This window comes from Homo sapiens, chromosome 2 (genome assembly GCF_000001405.40).
Source record: "Homo sapiens chromosome 2, GRCh38.p14 Primary Assembly".
Lineage (NCBI taxonomy): Eukaryota > Metazoa > Chordata > Mammalia > Primates > Hominidae > Homo > Homo sapiens.
In genome coordinates this window covers 178413423-178430442 of record NC_000002.12, presented here as the reverse complement: position 1 = coordinate 178430442, position 17020 = coordinate 178413423, and the positions used below count along the sequence as shown (strand labels likewise).

Genomic DNA, 17020 nt, shown 5'->3' with positions numbered 1-17020 from the left:
TTGGATATGGGGGAGGCACAATGAACTCTCCAAGATGACATTAGACTTCTGCATACTGAAATCCTGACTTGGATAAATTGGGGGAAAATTTCATAAGGCTGATGAAAAGGATATTACGTGGTTGTAGACAGTCCGTATGTATTGATAAAATGAGGTCTGAGGATAAGGTGCCCAGAAGATAAAATTGCTGCTGCCTCTGCTTTCCCTGCTTCTGGCTCTGGAGGAAAGTGCATTACACTGTTCGAATGTCACTTCTCAGACTATCCAGACCTTCTAGGGAGTTAGGGATTTTCTTGGACCATCAGGTGTATTCTTTAACACCATTTTGTTTAGCCCTCTGCTAAGGCTCTTAACCAATCTAATTAGTCAAACTTGTTAAATATAGGTTAATTTCTCAAATAGGCTCAACAGGTAATTGTGTCATAGTCATCTTCATAGTGTCAGTTCTAACAAGAACATCCATTAAGTGATAAGTGACTTTAAAAGATGAGGATGGCAATAGCACAATATGATAATACTAATTCAATAAGTTATTGAGCACTAATGTGCCCAGCACTATAGCAGCCTCTGGGAATATGTGGGCCCATATTGTGTTATTTGATGAAGAGCCGCTCCCTTGTTCTCGGGGTGTGCTGTGATATGCCACACAGTCCCCTTCCCTACAGAGGATTTTGTTTTCTCGCTCTGGCAGTGTGCACCCAACGGCCCTCAGCTGTCAGTAGAATTGCCCTCTTAAGTGAAAAGAGCCACCTCATCTGAAGTCACACTTCCTTCTTGGGCCAGGCTGCATGCAAAGACTAGTCCCATTGCCCCATATTAGAACAATCTGAAAGACCATCCTAGCTTCAGAGTTCCCCTTAGTGTCAGCTAAGGCCACCTTTGAGATTGCATCATAGTCCATATTCTTCCTCCACCCAGTGGAGTTTCCTTTCTTTCCACAGGTGGCAATCCAAATCTCCTACCCACTAATCTTCATCTCAGCATCTGTGATACTTGGTATCAGAAGGGTTGCAGGAAAGTAGGTGCTCCAGTGTGCTTTTGGAGCCATTTCTCTTGCCTTCTCACTTATAGGATGAGAGTCTCCTCACTGGGGCAGGGAGAAGTTAACTGCTAGCACACCCTGACAGTGCAGTTATTAAAACTTTGACTAGTGGTGAACTGAGATGGCATGTCAACACAAAGAAATGCACCGGCAGGCACGAAGATCAGGTGGGAAACAGTGTAGACAGTGGAACTGAAGAGTTATTACTGAGCTAGACCGATACCTTGGAAAAAGATAACAGAAGAATGAGAATGGGCCAGGCATAGTGGCTCACACTTGTAATCCCAGCACTTTGGGAGGCTGAGCCAGGAGTTTGAGACCAGCCTGGGCAACATAGCGAGACCCTGTCTCTACAAATATTTAAAAAATTATCCATGCCCAGTAGCTTGTGGCTGTAGTCCTAGCTATTTGGGAAGCTGAGGCAAGAAGATCACCTGACCCCAGGAGTTTGAGGCTGCAGTGAGCTATATTTGCACTACTGTACTCCAGCTTGAGCTACAGAATGAGACCCTGTCTCAAAATAAAAGAATGAGAGTGATTAGTTGGTAATTAGAAGCTGAGTGTGGGACCAAGAGCCGTGGCTCATGCCTGTAATTCCAGTGCCTCAGAAGACTGAAAAGGGAGGATAGCTTGAGGCCAGGAATTCAAGACCAGCCTGGGCAACATAGCAAGGCCCATCTCCACAAAAATTTAAAATCAGCAGGGCATAGTGGCATGCATTTGTTGTTCTGTTACTCAAGAGGCTGAGGCCAGAGGATAATTTGGGTCCAGGAGTTCAAGGTTACAGTAGCTTACTGTGCCACTGCACTCCCAGCCTGGGTGCAACTACACACTCAGCCTTAGTGACAAAGCAAGATCTTGTCTCAAAAACAAACAAAAACTCAGTGTGAGGGCCAGAAAGCCTCCCTCGTAGAATATGAGACTCTCAGGTTCTCAAGCCAATGAGGAGAGGAAGCTGAGGACCAGGCCCAGGACTTAGTCATGAGAATAAAACTCCAAAGAAGTTAGGACCCAAGCTAGGCAGGTCTACTGTGCTGTTGTCAGGACCCTGATTGGGAAAAAATGGAACCCTGACACATGGGATGAAACCATCTGGGTTGATGCACCTGAAAAATCTTCAATCCTCAGGTTTCCAGAACCTTCTAAGGCTACAGAAGTGCCCCTCTCTTCTCTAATAAGGGCTAGTGTGCTCCCTCTTTTGCTTGAAGACAATGAGCTCTCTCTCCAAGGACAAAACATACACTCCTCAGGATCCTCCCCAACTTCCTCTCTTGGCAACTAAGCCAATTAAAAAAAAGTTAAACTGGCGGGGTGCAGTGGCTCATGACTATAAATTTAGTACTTTGGAAGGCCGAGGAGGGTGGATTCCCTGAGGCCAGTAGTTCAAGACCAGCCTGGCCAACATGGTGAAACCCTGTCTCTACTAAAAATACAAACATTAGCCGGGCAAGGTGGTGCGCGCCTGTAATCCAGTTACTCGGGAGGCTGAGGCAAAAGAATTGCTTGAACCCAGGAGATGGAGGTTGCCATGAGTAGAGATTGTGCCACTGCACTCCAGCCTGGGCTAAAGAGGGAGACTCTGTCTCAAAAATAAATAAATAAATAAATAAATAAAAATAAAAAATAATCATGACCCCTTGTCCGATTTCCAGACCTGAGTCCGTTTTTGGATCCAGGCCCATTAACTAAAGAAGAATCTGGGTCCCCAGGAGGAAGGATTGTGTAATACCACAAGTGTGCACAATAATGATTCCTCTAGTCCTTCTCCAAAGGGACCTATCACCATTACTCAGGAAATCATACAGTGGTGAAAGGGGAATACTCAACATTTTGATATCTGTTGGAAACAGGGTCTGAGTTAACAATGATATCACAGAACTCTCACTATATGCCCTTGATTAGAGTAAGGGTTATGGAGGCCAAGTCCTAGGGTGTCCTGGCCCAAGTCTGGCTCACAATATATCCACAGACCCACCTAGTCCTTGAGTGTATAATTGTGATAAATACACTTGATTAGTGGCACCAGGTTTCTCGGTGTGTGTGGTAAGAGCTAACATAGTGATAAAGGCCAAGTGGCCAGGTGGAAGCTTTAAAAATTGACCTCTTCTCCATACCAATACAGTAAATCAAAAAATAATATTTCAGGGAATGGCAGAAATTAATGCCATCCTAAAAGACCTAAAAGATTCGGGGATGATGGTTCAAATTGTATCTCCATTTAATTTACCAGTCTAGCCCCTCCAAAAACCAGATAGTGGGCTACCACAAACTTTATGAGGTAGTAGCTCCAATTGTACCTACAGAGACAGCTACAGGCATCTTTGTTAGAGCAGACCCACATGGCATCAGGTGGACTTCTAGTTCAAAAATGGCAGTGTAGACGCAAGCTGGCTTCACTTCCACACCAGAAAACCAAAAACAAATATACAGCACTGAGATTATCACCAACAATATCCCAGAACTCAGATATGAGGATGAGTCAATTCCTGGGGACACAGAAGTGAAAAAACTCTGAGCATGGTAAAAGAATCAGATTTTTATATCTGTGGTGCCCCTTGCCACAATCTGTCCAGCACCAAGTGTGTGGAAAACTTTCCCCAACTCACAGTTTCTACAATGGAAAAAGTGAGATCAAGGTAGACAACCAACCTCCCTACCATCCTGGATTCCCTGGAAAGAGACCTGTCCCTGACTCACCCCATGGGAAGTATCATGAGTACCTTGAGGGAAAAACATTACCGAGGACAACCAGAGACAAAGGGAGGAGGCAGGACTTCAATCCCCAGCCCTGGAAACTCTGCTCTGTAACTTGATCAAAGAAGATGCCAGATCAGAGTGGTTACTCAGCAGCACCAGCTGTAGGAGATGCATTCCACAGATCCTCTTGGCACAAACCTTTAGCCGGCCTTTCACACTGCCAGGATATCCGCTTTGGGACCTCCCCCATTTGAGAAGGGCATCACTCTGATGAGTTTCTAGAGTGGAGGCAAACCTGGGCTTAAGGTGCCATCAAGTTCCAAAAGGGAGACAGTGACCTAGTGGGAAAATAAGAAATTTAACAGATAAGTCACAAAGAATCTCTAAGCAAACATCCCCGACAGAAAACAAAACAATCAAGACAGAGAAGACTGGAATAAATAATCCTTCAATGCAAAGATATGGACGTACATCCACAAGAAAAACAACAGCAATAGGGAACCATGACCTCCCCAAATGAATAAAGCAAGGAACAAGTGTCTGAATCTAAGAAAATGGTGATATGTGAGCTCTCTGACCAAGAATTCAAAATAGCAGTTTTAAGGAAACTCAGTAACCCCCAAGATAACACAGACAAGCAATCTATAAGTTTATCAGAGAAATTTAACAGATTAAAATAATTTTAAAAAAGCAAAATTCTCATTACTGAGAAATATATTTGCTGAACTAAAAAAAAATTAGATGAACCACAGAATGGATCAAGGAGAAGAAAAAGTCAGTGAGCTCAAAGACAGGCCATTTGAAATTACACAGTGAGGGGGAGAAAAGAAAAAAGAATGAAAAAGAATGAAGATCACTTACAAGATATAGAAAATTATCTCAAAAGACCAAATCGAAGAATAACTAGTGTTCAAGAAAAAGTTGAGCAACAGCAAGGGGTAGAAAGCTTATTCAAAGAAATAATAAAATTTTTTTCCCAAAACTTAAGAAAGATATAAATATCCAGGTATGCAGGTCAGAGAACACTAAACAGATTCGACCCAGATAAGACTACCCGTAGGCATAGTCGAACTCTCAAAGGGCAAGGACAAAGAAAGGGTCCTAAAAGCAGCAAGAGAAAAGAAGCAAATAACATAAATTCCAATTCATCTGGCAACAGACTTCTCAACAGAAACCATACAGGCCAGGAGCAAATGGGATGAAATTTTCAGTGTTGAAAGAAAAAAATGTCTGCCACACAAGAATACTGTATCCAGCAAAGCTATCCTTCAACCATCAAAGCAAGATAAAGTCTTTCCCAGATAAACAAAAGCTGAGAGAATTCACCACCATGAGGCCCATCTTAAAAGAAATGCTAAAGGGAGTTCTTCAATCCACAAGAAAAAAAAAAAAAACACCAATGTGCAAAAACAAAAACATTTGAAGGTATAAAACCCACTGATGAAATTAAGTACAAAGACAATCCCCAAATACTTCAATACTGAAATTGTGGTGTGTAATCCACTTATAACTCTAGTATGAAGACCAAAAGACAAACCTACCAAAAACAATAACAGCTACAGCAACCTGTTAAGAGATAAGCAATATAAAAATATGTAAATTGAGACAAACAAAAGTCAAAATGTAGAAGGGATGGAGTTAAGGTATAAAGGCTTTTTTTTTTAGTTTTTTCTTTTCTTTTTTTTTTTTTTTAATCTAAGATAAGTTGTCATCTCTTTAAGATGACTTGGTATATCTATGTTTTATGTAAGCCTCATGGTAACCACAATGTAAAAACCTATAATAGACACACTAAAAATGAAAAGCAACAAATTAAAACATACTCCAGAGAAAATCACTTAACCACAAAGGAAGACAATAAGAAAGGAAGAGAGGAATTATAAAACAACAATTAGAAAACAAGCACAAAATGACAGTAGTAAGTCCTTACTTGTCAATAATAACACTGAATGTAAGGGGACTCAATTCTCCAATTAAAAGGCTGAACTGATAAAGAAACAAGCCCTTAACTATATGCTGCTAACAAGAAACTTACCTCCCCTGTAATGACACACATAGACGGAAAGTGAAGGGATGGAAAAAAAAATCTATGCAAGTAGAAATCAAAAAAGATCAAGAATAACTATACTCACATCAGATAAAATGGACTACAAGTCAAAGACTATAAAAAGAGACAAAGAAGGTCACTATATAATGACAAAAGAGTGAATTCAGCAAGAGGATATAATAATTTATATATCTACGCACCCAACACTGGAGCACTCAATTATACAAAGCAAACATTAATAGATCTAAAGGGAGAGATAAACTGCAATACAGTAATATTAGGGGACTTCAACACCCCATTCTCAGTAACAGATAAATCATCCAGACAGAAAATCCACAAAGAAACTTTGGAGTTAAACTACATACTAGATCAAATAGGCCTAACTGACATTTACAGAATATTTCACCCAACAGCTACAGAGTGCAATGGTGTGATCTTGGCTCACCGCAACCTCTGTCTCCCGAGTTCAAGCAATTCTCCTGCCTCAGCCTCCCAAGTAGCTGGGATTACAGGCATGCACCCCCATGCCCAGTTAATTTTTGTATTTTTAGTAGAGATGGGGTTTCTCCATGTTGGTCAGGCTGGTCTCGAACTCCCGACCTCAGGTGATCCACGCACCTCAGCCTCCCAAAGTGCTGAGATTATAGGCGTGAGCCACCATGCCCAGCCCAGAAGACACATTCTTTTCTCATTATCCAGAACAGACCATATTTCAAACAAGTCTCAACAGATTCAAAAAAGTAGAAATCACAACATGGCACCACGTATACAATATGCAGCTGTTGATCTGACAAATGCATCCTTTCTATATTAGAAAAGAGGATCAGAAACACATTACCTTGGATCAGACAATAGTGAACATGTATAATCTTCTTAGAAGCATGTTAACTCTTCCAGCTTTTATCATAATATAGTCTGAAGGACCAAGACCAGCTGGGCATCTTGCAGAACATCACTGATTCACTATATCAATTATACCATGTTAACTGGACCAGAAGAGCAAGAAGTAGATAATATATTGGAGCTACCGCACATATACTCCGAAGGTGAGAGACAAACCCTACAAAGATTCAAGGAACTTCTACTGGTGGCTCTCTAGTGGGTCCACAGTCCAGGGCATGCCAAGATATGCCTTCCAAAATAAGCAACAAATTATTGCATTTTGTACCTCTCACCATAAAGAAGGTAGCATAAAAGAATGATAGGTTTCTATGGGTTCTAGAGGCAGCATATGCCATAGCAGGAAATACTTGCTGTTACCTATACACTGGATGACATAAAAGGCTTCCAATTTCAAGTGGGACCCAGAGCAGAAAAGGGCTCTGAAGCAGGTCCAGGTGGCAGTTTTACCACTTTGCCATACCACCCAGCAGATGCTGTTGTATTAGATATATAGGAAAAGATTCTGTGTGGAGTTTATGATAAGTCCTAATGGGAAAATCACAATGCAGACCCAAGAGTCTGGCCATGCTATCTGTAGCAGAGAAGTAAACACCTTTCAACAAACAGCTGCTGATGTGCTGCTGGGCTTTTATAGAGATATAGCACCAGACAAAGGGATGTCAAGTAGCCATGAAGCCAAGAACAATGATCATGAGCTGGGTTCTATACATGTAGAACACAAACATAGGCAAAGGGCACAGTATGTTACATTAGCAAGCAGCCTAGACTCCCATGTCTCTACCACTGTTGCACCAGTGTCTCTCCCTTGGCTTACATTTATTGTCACTGATCCCATATGACGAGCTGATGAAAGAGGAAAATGCATGAATTTGACTCACAAATGGGTATATTTTGGCAAACAAAATAGATGGTGTCTATAGTACTGTGCCACTCAGGGGTGGCCCTGAAAGTCAATGGTAAGGGAAAATCCTCCCAAAGGGCAGACCTTCGGGCAGTATACTTTGCTGTCCATTTGTGTAGAAAGGGTCTCAAGGTTAGAATATACATGGGTAGTGGCAACTGGCTTGGTCATGGGATCAGGGTCCTGAAAATAGACTAAACTACTGGGAACAAAGAGATTTTGAGATAAAAATGGTGGATTGGGCACATGAGAGTGGGCACAAAGCGTTAGGAGCTTTGTACTGCGTTTGATCTATACTACAAAGTATCCATAATGGAAAAGGCCCTGAACAACCAAGTCAGTATCAGGACTTGGCTGGTTAATAACATCCAGCATCTGGCATTGGAATAACTACTGTGGCAGGATTGGAGGCTATGTAACAGACCTAACAGGATGCGCTCCTATACACTGAGGCTGATCTAGTTATATTCACTGCTGAATTTTCAGCCTGCTAACAACAGAGACCAATGCTGCAATGCTGAGTGCCTATTCCTCAAGAAGACCAATCAGTCACTTGGTGGCAAGCTGACTTACAATAATGATCCTAACAAGACGCAGTGACTCATTTTGACAGGAATAGACACATATTCTAAATGATTCTCCTTTTCTATCTGCAGGGCATTGGCCAGCATCACTGAGGGCTTTCAGAGAGTTTGAACTACCTCATGGGACCTGTTTTATAGCAAAGGAGGAAAGAGTGGGCAAACGACCACAGCCTCTGCTTGTCTTATTATTACATGCTGCATCACCCAGAAGCCTCTACCCTGATAGAATGAATAATTAACTTGTTGAAGGCATACCTAACACGAACACCATCCTTTAAGATGAAGTGGACACTTTAATGGTCTTTATGTAGGGCTGTGTTCTTAACAGGTAGAATACATGGGTCCAGGAATCAAGAGGTAGAAGCAGGAATGGCCCTGCTTTCTATCATTCCCAGTGATTCTCTTGGGGGAAATTGTGCTTCCTGGCTCCACAACACTGGGTCCTGTCATTTAGAGGTCCTGCTTCCTAAAGGTGAAACACCTCCACCAGCAGATGTAGTTTATAGTTCAGTGAGACCCAAGAAGAGACTCATCAGTTTCATTGAATTATAAGCTACATCTGCGGGCTAGGTACTTCAGGTTCCTTGTACCAAGAAAGTAGCAGGCAAAAAGAGGAGTCACATCCTGGCAGGGATAATGGATCTTATCATAAAGAGGAGGTAGGACCACGGTTACAGTTGGAGGAAGGAGGAAAATGTTGGTAACCAAGCACTGCACGTATGCACCTCTTGGTATGCTCTTGCCCAATTCTGATTGTAAACGGACAGTGTAGCAGCCATTATGAGCCTAAAAAGATTATAGGGACCGGGGACTCTGAGCCTCTAAGGATCAAGGACTGAGTTTTATCACCAGGTAAGTCACTGAGACCAGCTGAGAGTGTCACTGCATCCAAGGTCACCCCCATCTTTGGGTTCCTTGCATCCAGTGACTGGGCAACAAAGTCCTGACCTTCTTGCTCCAATATGGGACATCAAAAGGGCCAACCAGCTTTAGAGTTTCCCATGGGGTCAGCTGAGAACACTGTTGACACTGTATCACAACCCAAGTCCTCCTTCCACCCAATCCTGATTTCTTTCCATTCCTTCCACGGATGATGATCACAAAAGCATTCCCTAATAAACCTTCTGCCTACTGTCTCCTGAGTCTGCTCCCTGAGAGTCCCACCTGAGATATGGAGTTATAGTTTAGTGAAAAAAGATGATAAGAATATCATATAAATCACATAATTTAAGATATATAAAATTACAAGTCAGCATTGGAGATACTCTGGATTCTCTTCAGATCATATATCTTTTGCCTTTTATTAGAATTTCTAGAGAGAGGATAAATTATGAGTTTGTAGCCAGTTTTTTCTTTGCTTTTTATTTTTGGCAGGGTTGCTATGGTTTGGATATGGTTTGTTTGTCCCTTCTCCTGCAAATCTCATGTTGAAATTTGATTCCCAGTGTGGTGGTGTTGGAAGATGGGGTCCAATGGAAGGTGTTTGGATCATGGGGGTGGATCCCATATGAATAGATTTATGCCTTCCCTTAAGGATGAGTGAGTTCTCACGCTATTAAATCCCAAAAGAGCTGGTTGTTAAAAAGAACCTGGCACCTCTTCCCCACCCCTGCTTCCTCTTCCCCAGCCCTGCTTCCTCTCTTGCATGTGATCTCTGCACACACCAGTTTCCCTTTACCTTTGCCATGAGTGGAAGCAGCCTAAGGCCCTCACCAGATGCAGAAGCCCAATCTTGAACTTTCCAGCCATCTAAAATCAGGAGCCAAATAATTTTTTTCTTTATAAATTACCCAGTCTCAGGTATTCCTTTAAAGCAACACTAAACAAACTAAGACAAGGTTTCTGTAGAGAGTGTGTGTATGTGCCGCGACAAAAAATATTTGCATTTTCAAAAGATTTCTTTCAACATTATCCAAAACAGTATGTAGGAAATGAAATAGAAATTATGCTAATTTGAGGACAATGTCCACTGTGAGTAATGCTGCATCTAGAATAACACTGCATCTCAAGGTCCAAAGAAGTTAAAAAACATGAAACAGCCCATATTGTAATATGAGTTCTAAAAAGGATAGTTTCGTGGAAGTTTCAGAGTATTATAACTAAGCAGCAGCTCTTACTACATTGAAAAAATGAATTTAAGGCAATAAATTATAGCTTTACCTGAAAAATTGTAAACTTGTGGAAATTACTGAAGATGTGGTCTACTCAGAACATTTACAAGCTTGACAACATATTCAGAATTACCAGCTTGACAGTATATTGAGATAGCAGATCATGATGGCTTTCTGCCACAAATACAGCTGATATCAAAAAGGAGACGATAACAATAAGCTAAGTCTTAAATTTCTTGTACTTAATTTATCATTTTCTGATTTCCTCATTTCCCTCAATAATTTTTTTAGATTAAGACTTATCAAAAAGGCCATCTGCAGAGAACAGTGTGTAATGAAGATCTGATAGCTATTCAGTCAATTTGAATATTAGAGAGGGTGAAGTAGATGGATTGGAATATGTGGGTTTTTTTTGCTTCACTGCTTGGGCTGGGGCAAGAGTGGGACATCGTGGAGAGAAGACCTGAATAAACTAGTTTTTCTTTCTATGCTGATCTGAGTGAATGGATAGCTGCCACATGTTTATAGCATTCTGTGCTAATAGATACAGTAGAGGTTTGAAAAATATTTACATATATCTCACCAAAAAAAAGAGGCAGAAGACAGAGGCAAACTGTTTTCAAGTATATGAGCTAAAACCAAAGAAAGGCTTGGACTTACAGATGTCTCCAGTCATAATTTTTTAAAATAAGATGAACAATTGGAGCACATTTAGATGGCAGATTAAGAATTAGATAGTATAGTAAATGCTGGGTTCTATTACAAATATTTACATTCTTATTTATGAGCTTGTGCTTTCATTCTAGTGCAATCTCCGTTATGGCCAGATGGGTGTGTTACTGCACAGGATTTATTTGAAATTCAGAAACTGACAGTACCTGTGCCTGATTGCTTGGTTTATTTTATTCATTTTATCTCATATTTCTAGTTAAGAAAGGTAGTTTTAATGGCAAAAGAAAGCAGGCTAAGGATTTAATATTTTGTTCATGCACTTAATAAAGGACTTAAGCAAATGCTTTGTTTTTATTTGTTAATAGTAGGACAGTAATAAAAATTAGTGTTAATAAAGATCAACTCACATGATGGGACTTTTGCTTTGAAACACTGGGCTAGGAACAAATTCATACTGAGCTTTAGGATTTTAAAGAATAATTTAGCTAGACTTTATTAAGGATTGACTATGTTACCTACACTGGACAAAACATTTTACATACATATATAAAGCCATTTTTCTAAGAAGCTGTACAGAACAATAATTAAGTGAGCATCTCTAAAGACAGACTGCCTGGGTTTGAATTCAAGCTCCATCACAGGTAAACGGCTGTGTGATTTGGGGCAAGTTGCTTAACCTTTCAGTTCCTCAGTTTCCTCATCTCTAATTTAAGGGTAACTGACTTCTGCTTCCAAACATGATATAATAACATGTGTGGGCTAGCCCTCCTTTCACTGTAAACAACTTTAAAACTGGACAAAAGACAGAAGGCAGCTCCTTTCAGACATTGTATATGATAAAGAAAAAAATTACTCAATGAGGCAAGGTACAGTGACTCACTCCTGTAATCCCAGCACTGTAGGAGATTGGGGCAGGAGGATTGCTTGAAATCAGGAGTTTGAGATCAGTCTGGGCAAATAGTGAGATCCGCATCTCTATAAAAATAAAAATAATTTAAAATATTAGCTGGGTTTGATGGTACCCTCCTGTAGTCCTGGCTACTTGGGAGGCTAAGGTGGGAGAATCACTTGAGCCCAGGAGTTTGAGGCTGCAGTGAGCTATGATTGTGCCACTGCACTCCAGCCTGGTGACAGAGCAAGACCCTGTCTCCTGAAAAAAAAAAAAAAAAAATTTTTAAATGATACTTGTTAAAGCACAATAAGGCAGATTTTAGGACTATCTCAAAAGGTATAGGGACCGTTACAATGGGATTCTGCAGTAGGGGAGAGAGGTTAGGTTCAGCTATGAATATAGCATGGGCAAGAGGGAATTTATAGCCAAGGGGCAAGGTAGTGGCAGTGGATAGACAATTACTAAGAGGAAACATCAAGGGTAAGGGGAATTCTGCCTAAACCAACCAATCTAACAGGATTCTTGCGAAGTCAGACCAGATTAATCAGATGTCACCTGTGGGATGGTAGAGGCTGAGGAACCCAATCAGATATCAAGGGTGATCAGATATCAAAGGTGGGGATTCTTGCTAACCCAACTAAGCAGCGTTCTTGCTACAACTGGCTTTTACATGGAAGTGCACAGATGGGCTTAGTAGAAGGCTCAGGAGCCTGATTAAAGTTTGGGGCCAAGCAAAGAATCTTAGACAACAGCACAGATTGCTAACCTGAGAGAGGGGAAACACATGAGATGATCCCCCTGGTGGCCCTAGATTTCTGCTCAAGAGCCCATTTTGGACTGCAGAATGGAAAAGTGAAGTCCAGAGAGACCTCAGGGATGCTGAATTGCCTAGAGTAAGTAGGGTAGAGTACCTGAGGATAAGGAGTGGTGTAGAGAAGGAACTACAGAATCCTGCATAGGGATTCCCCTGAAGTCTTTAGCCAAATACAAAGCTGTGCATGTGCAGAGTAAGACTCTGTGAGGGCCAGCAGAGAACAGTTACCACTGATGAGTGACAAGCTGAGTCAAGATTCCACAAGTCCTCCAGTGTTGGAAAACACAGGTGATCAGCACTGTCCAGCAATATATATTCTGAATATGTGTCACGTTTTCCTGCTTTTCTGATTCTCTTATATTTTGATAGATTATATGCTGGACATTACAGATTCTACATTGCTGTGAATCAAGATTTTGTTGTCTTCCTTTAAAGAGTATTGAGTTTTTTTCTCACAGACAGTTAATTTAGTGATGGATCACATTGATTCTTATAGGAGGGGTATTTTAAAAGCTTTGTTAGCATGGGTTTAAAGTAGCGCCTTCCTAGAGACTAAAGCACCCCTATTCTTCAAGTATGACTCTTTCCACAGCATTGCAAGTCACGAAACCCGCCCAGATTCAAGAGGTGGGCCCAACTTTTCACGGGTAGAGTTAAAAAAAATCACATTGCAAAGGGTCTGCCTACAGGGAAGTATTGGAGACATTCTTGCAATGGATCTACCACAGTTCATTTCAATCTGTTTCTTCTCCACTACCCGCATATTTCTGATGCCAAGCAATAGGTCACATTCATATCATAGTGTGACCTCTGGCCCTGCTTTTATATGTAGGGTGTATGTGAACCCGCATAGTCACTAGTAGGAGTATTCCTAGAAACCATTCCAGTAGTGGTATGACCATTACTTAACTATACATGGATGTGACTACAAACCACATACATATATCCCATTAAACCCAAACTCAATGTAGTCTCAACTCAATTTATCCCTTGGCCAAATCCCAGAAATGCCCGTGATCACTCCAAAACTTTAAAGTCGGGGGTTGTGCCTAGCCAGAGCAAGGAAGAGTATTGGGATGGGAGACAAGAGGGAAGTCAGAGTGGGAAGAGACAGCAGGTCTAACTGTCAAGGGCCGAGCTTAGTTCCAGAGAGTTGAGGTGCCAGAAGTCAGAAAAGCAGTGAAGACAATAAGCCAATATGAAAGGAAGGGTCAAGGCTTTAATCCCATGCTGTGATAGAATGGCACCAATCCAGGGTCAGGTGGATCAGCACAGCTTTGCTGAGAGAACCCTTGAACAAAAGGCTCCTGCAGTTTTATGGACCCAGGGCCTGGGATGAGGAGAAGGTGAAGGACTTAGAGTGGAAAAGTACTCAGTACTGAGTCCGAGTGGGGAAAAGTGTCTTCAAGCTTCCTCCTGTCCTCCAATAAGGAGATGTCTGCAGGAGTCCCTGAGGAAGCTCTCCCTCTACATAGAGACCTCCAAATGGACCCCATAATGACTTGGTCACTCTGAGTCATTGTTCTCTGGCATCCTTAATTCCAATATTCTTCACATCACATGAACTCTTTGAGCCTCAGTTTCCTTACCAGTAAAATGGGGATAAACTGCTCTACCTTCCTCTCAGGTTAGAAAGATGAAATGAGATAATAAATGTGCAAATGCTTTGAAAACCTTGAAGATGCACAAATGTAAGCCATTTTCTCCTTAAAAAGTTATGAAATTGAGGTGGCCAACTCTAATATAAAATTCCCTCTGTAACATTTCAACTTAACAGGCTTTAAGGGATCAGCTAAGTAAAAAGCAAATGTTTTACCCAAGCACAGGATTCCAAGGTTATTTATGGCATTCTCTGAATCTCTGTAGTACTTCCTATTGTTACAATCTGTCCTGCATTGTCTGATGATGGCCTTTTATCTTAAATGAGGCTGAGACTTTTTGTTACTATTACATCGGCACTGTCTGAAAAAATATAATGCAAACCATATACATAATTTAAACATTTCTAGTAGCCACACTCTTTGAGAAAAGAAACTGATTGAATTATATTCTATTTAACCTAATATGTCAAAAACATTATCATTTTAACATGTAATAAATATAAAAATTATTAAGATATTTTACATTCTTTTTTACATACTATGTCTCTGAAATCCAGCCTATATTTTATATTTTACATTTACAGTACATGTCTTTTTTTCCTTTTTTTCTTGGAGACAGAGTCTTGCACTGTTGCCTAGACTGGAGTGCAGTGGTGCGATCTCAGCTCACTGCAACCTCTGCCTCCTGGGTTCAAGCAATTCTCCCATCTCAGCCACCCACGCTCAGCTAATTTTTGTATTTTTAGTAGAGACAGGGTTTTGCCATGTTGGCCAGGCTGGTCTCAAACTCCTGGCCTTAAGTGATCCGCCCACCTTGGCCTGGCCTAGCTGTCACTGACTTTGTAAGGAGTTTCTGCAAATGCTTCTTCAGACTTTTCCCACGTTTTTTAAAACCCCTATTTATATTACTACTTAATGGCAATTTCTTCCACGGTCACAGAGAACACAAAGACCTTTGATTTGCTCTTTCCACCACAGAATATCACTCTAGGAAAGCATTCCATCATAATGTATATAAGGTGCCTAAACTGTGCTATAATCTTAAGCATTACAGGGACTCAGAATGAGGTCGTTAAAGCAGTGTTTTCCAAAGCGTGTTCCGCTGACCTAATCCCATACTCAGCGTATGCAACTTGATATTTTAATTTGTACCCTAGTGATCTAGTCTTATGCCTTCTGGGTACATATTGCATCATATCTTTAAACACATCCAGCTTCTAGAATGGTGCTGTACACGCAGGAGGTCGTTGAGCTTCACCTTCCTGCTAATGACAAAATCAGCAATTGCCTTTAACCACAGGAACTTCAGCCCGTTGGTCACTAGGGGGAGACACACACGTGGTGGGCCTCTCCAGGCTCCTCAAATCCCGCCAGAGTCGCCACTGTGTAGTCTGCCCAGAGAAACCACACCCAGTCTTAGGAAGAGGAAACTGACTGCCATCCATTTCACGCTACTGTGGCCGGCGAGCTCAGAGTGGAATCATTTGCAAGGCAGCTCCTCCAAGAATAACCAAGCCGAGATCTAGCTGATCAACGATTGAATTTAGAGTAAAACTTGACAGAATAAAACTCCCTTCGGTTTGTCCGTACTACCTGGGTTTGCAGAAATGCTTTTCCTTAGCATTTAATTTTGGGACCTGTAAATATAACTGCTTTTTAGATGCATTCCATAATCCTCAATTAACTTACTGCAGTAAAAAGATAATTAGGTTAATATAAACTGCTCCAAGGGGTTTCTGATCAGACTGAATTTTATTTCATTTGAAATAAGGTCGTTGTTTAATCTTGCAAGTTAAATAATCTTGATTTTACGCTGAATAGGGGCCTGAGATAGATGAAAGAAAATTTCCTTTTCATACATGTGAGAAATAAACTGTTTCTTACACTCATATTCACAAGTGTGACCGTTAGTCCAAGTTGAGGCAATTAACATATTTAGGAAGAAAAAAACTTCCTCACAGAAGGATTGGCATTGGCCCTTCTGAACAGTATTGCAAAGTCTGAAGGAAAAACCCTATTGACACCACTTTCTAGCCAAATGCTATAGGACGATATCAATACTTACTGTACTGAGTGGGCATTTATTTAGTTATTTCACAGTGAAGATATCTTTTCTGGAAAATTCCTCATAAGAAAACTGAAATTCAAGCTCCTGCTCGTTCTTCAGCCACCGCTACTCGTTCCTGCTTTTTGTGCCCATAGGTTCTTCTGCCCAAAACAAAAGCTGTTAAATCACCGCGGCGGCGCTGACGTCAGGGAGCAGGGCCGCGAGGCCCCACCAGGTCGCCAATGAAGCCTCCCCTCGGCTCTGCCGGGGGCTTTGCGGGGCGCATAGAGGCTCCCAGGCGGATAGAGGCTCCCAGGCGGAGGAGTCCGGGAACCCCTAAAGACCCTTTAGGAAGCAAGGTCCGGAAAACCAAGCACGAGCAAGAGGCCCCGGGCGGCTGTATCCCTGCCCGGCGAATTCAGAGGGAGCGGGCGCCGCGGCCACCCAAGAGCAACGAAGACGGCGGCGCGGAGGAGAGGATGGGGAGGGGTGTGGGCCGCCCAGAGGCGCGGAAGCTGGGAGCACCGCGCGGCTTAGGAACTAAAATAAATGCTTGTCTGAATCTGCCCCGGGTGGGGGATGAAGGAACAAGGGCTTGGGAGGAGACCGATACATTTTAGAAATTGCCGGTGGGGGAGCCAGGGGCGGTGGCTCACGCCTGTAATCCCAGCACTTTGGGAGGCGTAAGGCGGGCTGATCACCTGAGGTC

At 41.8% G+C, this 17020-nt stretch overlaps 1 long non-coding RNA gene across 3 annotated transcripts in view, besides 6 other annotated features; it reads right to left on the bottom strand.

Moving 5' to 3' along the window:
• Positions 1–16784, bottom strand: part of CHROMR (cholesterol induced regulator of metabolism RNA) — a 26585-nt gene extending 9801 nt beyond the window's left edge. Inside the window, exons 1-2 of one of the 3 annotated variants that reach the window (NR_110204.1) lie at positions 16330–16784; positions 3782–4077 (exon numbers count right to left, since the gene is read on the bottom strand). This is a non-coding gene — a long non-coding RNA (cholesterol induced regulator of metabolism RNA). The remainder of the gene's footprint in view (positions 1–3781; positions 4078–16329) is intronic. The other 2 variants (NR_110205.1, NR_110206.1) reach the window with 2 other exon arrangements.
• Positions 15293–15867: an enhancer, noted in NCBI's record as "H3K27ac hESC enhancer chr2:179279303-179279877 (GRCh37/hg19 assembly coordinates)". NCBI's record gives its function as "activates a minimal SCP1, AML or CMV promoter by ChIP-STARR-seq in naive and primed H9 embryonic stem cells {active_cell/tissue: H9 hESC(naive and primed)}" and the evidence as "EXISTENCE:reporter gene assay evidence [ECO:0000049][PMID:30033119]".
• Positions 15293–15914: a biological region, named in NCBI's record as "H3K27ac hESC enhancer GRCh37_chr2:179279303-179279877".
• Positions 15655–15914: an enhancer, noted in NCBI's record as "active region_16804". NCBI's record gives its function as "activates an Ori minimal core promoter by ATAC-STARR-seq in GM12878 lymphoblastoid cells {active_cell/tissue: GM12878}" and the evidence as "EXISTENCE:reporter gene assay evidence [ECO:0000049][PMID:35858748]".
• Positions 16416–16615: an enhancer, noted in NCBI's record as "active region_16803". NCBI's record gives its function as "activates an Ori minimal core promoter by ATAC-STARR-seq in GM12878 lymphoblastoid cells {active_cell/tissue: GM12878}" and the evidence as "EXISTENCE:reporter gene assay evidence [ECO:0000049][PMID:35858748]".
• Positions 16416–17020: a biological region, named in NCBI's record as "H3K27ac hESC enhancer GRCh37_chr2:179278150-179278725".
• Positions 16445–17020: an enhancer, noted in NCBI's record as "H3K27ac hESC enhancer chr2:179278150-179278725 (GRCh37/hg19 assembly coordinates)". NCBI's record gives its function as "activates a minimal SCP1, AML or CMV promoter by ChIP-STARR-seq in primed H9 embryonic stem cells {active_cell/tissue: H9 hESC(primed)}" and the evidence as "EXISTENCE:reporter gene assay evidence [ECO:0000049][PMID:30033119]".